Below are 1,566 nucleotides of genomic sequence, written 5' to 3' on the forward strand. Positions count from 1 at the left end.
CGCTCAGGACATCAGGATCTTACTTTAGGTCTTTTCCATCCTCTAACATTTTCTAAGTATGTTGTCTGTGCCAAGGTCTGTCCTAGGCACTGGTGATACCAAAAAAGAAAAGCCATTCTTTCCTCAAAGACCTCACAATATTACCAAGTCCTTTATCTCTAATTGTGCTTTGCAGGACATGAGAGGTGGGCAATTCTCTATAAAAAAGATGTTTCCTGTTCAAATAAATGTGAGACAATACAAGAAATGATGTATATTCTATCCCTTTCTAAAAGTCACATTGTACAACAATATACTAAGGATTCTACTGCAGACATTAAAAAAAAAAAGAAAACAACAACTTGTAGGTAAAATATCTAGAAACATCCCAAGGAGTACACTTCAGAAAACGCTGAGATTGTGGCGTGTTCCAGTCCTGGGATTTCTGCTGCCCTTGGTCCTCTTGGTAACTGTCAAAGTTACATCTCACCTGATCTTTTGCTTGCTGTTCTTGGGTACCCACTTTACACAGCATGTATTTATATAGGCCAAACCGTTTTACAAGAACCCCAAGGGCTTCTTTGAATTCTTTTCCTGTTACAGGAGATTTTATTGTTTTAAATATTGCTTACAGTAAGTGCGTCACTGGCTGGGAATCTTTGGTTAAACTGAGATTTCACAGTAATAGAATCCAATCCAGTCTCTAGGGTTCATTGTACACATTGTTGGTTGGGTTTTCACTCAGATTTACAAGGACAATTACAGTTCTACTGGTTTAAGCTGTCCAATGAAGGTCTCCCTGAAGGCATGGACTGAGGTTCTTCTTTTGTCTGTTTGTTCACCTGCCCATGGCCAAATATCCTCCTTCCTTTATGGCACATAGAAAACTTTCCACAGTACTGTCAAGATTGAGTTGTTTCTTTCAAGTTTCAAGTCAGTAGCCCCACTTATATGAATGTGACATTAGGTACACATCGAAGTCTTAGCGTTCTCCCTCCTACCACCTTTGTCTTCAAGCTTACATGTCCTGCCTTTCTTAACCAAAGGTTAGGCTGAAGAAAGTTCAAGAAAACCTCAGACATGTCCATCTTCCCACTTTCTCAGCCTTCACATGGCTTGGGATTGTTATTTCCTGTTGTGTTTCTTGAGTTTCAGCCCCATTCCTGCCTCTTCACCACCATTCCCTCAAATCTCTTGTGAATAGCTTGGCAAGCCACCTCTGAGCACTGCACTAATGTCAGTGAAAGAGAGTGAAGAAGAAATGAGATTTTGAAGCACTGAGAATTAATAATAATGAAAACTCGTGTGTGGATGCCAAGATTGTCTTTTCTTCTCCCCCATCGGCTCATGTTTTTGAAGCTATTTCATTCTAAAATGGCTTTGCCTTGGGGAGAACAGATAAGAATTAGACAAGGCCAAGGTCCTTCCTGTAAATGTCACAGGAGCCCCAACTCAGTGAGCTGGTCTGTTCCATTCCAAATCAGGCAGCATTGCTCAGTTCACTAAGTTTGTGCTTAGGTCTCTTAGAGGCTCAAGGTATAATCCCATGCTATGTCATCCATTATTCATGATTCATTCAGCTATCAC

Source organism: Homo sapiens, chromosome 11 (assembly GCF_000001405.40).
Source record: "Homo sapiens chromosome 11, GRCh38.p14 Primary Assembly".
Lineage (NCBI taxonomy): Eukaryota > Metazoa > Chordata > Mammalia > Primates > Hominidae > Homo > Homo sapiens.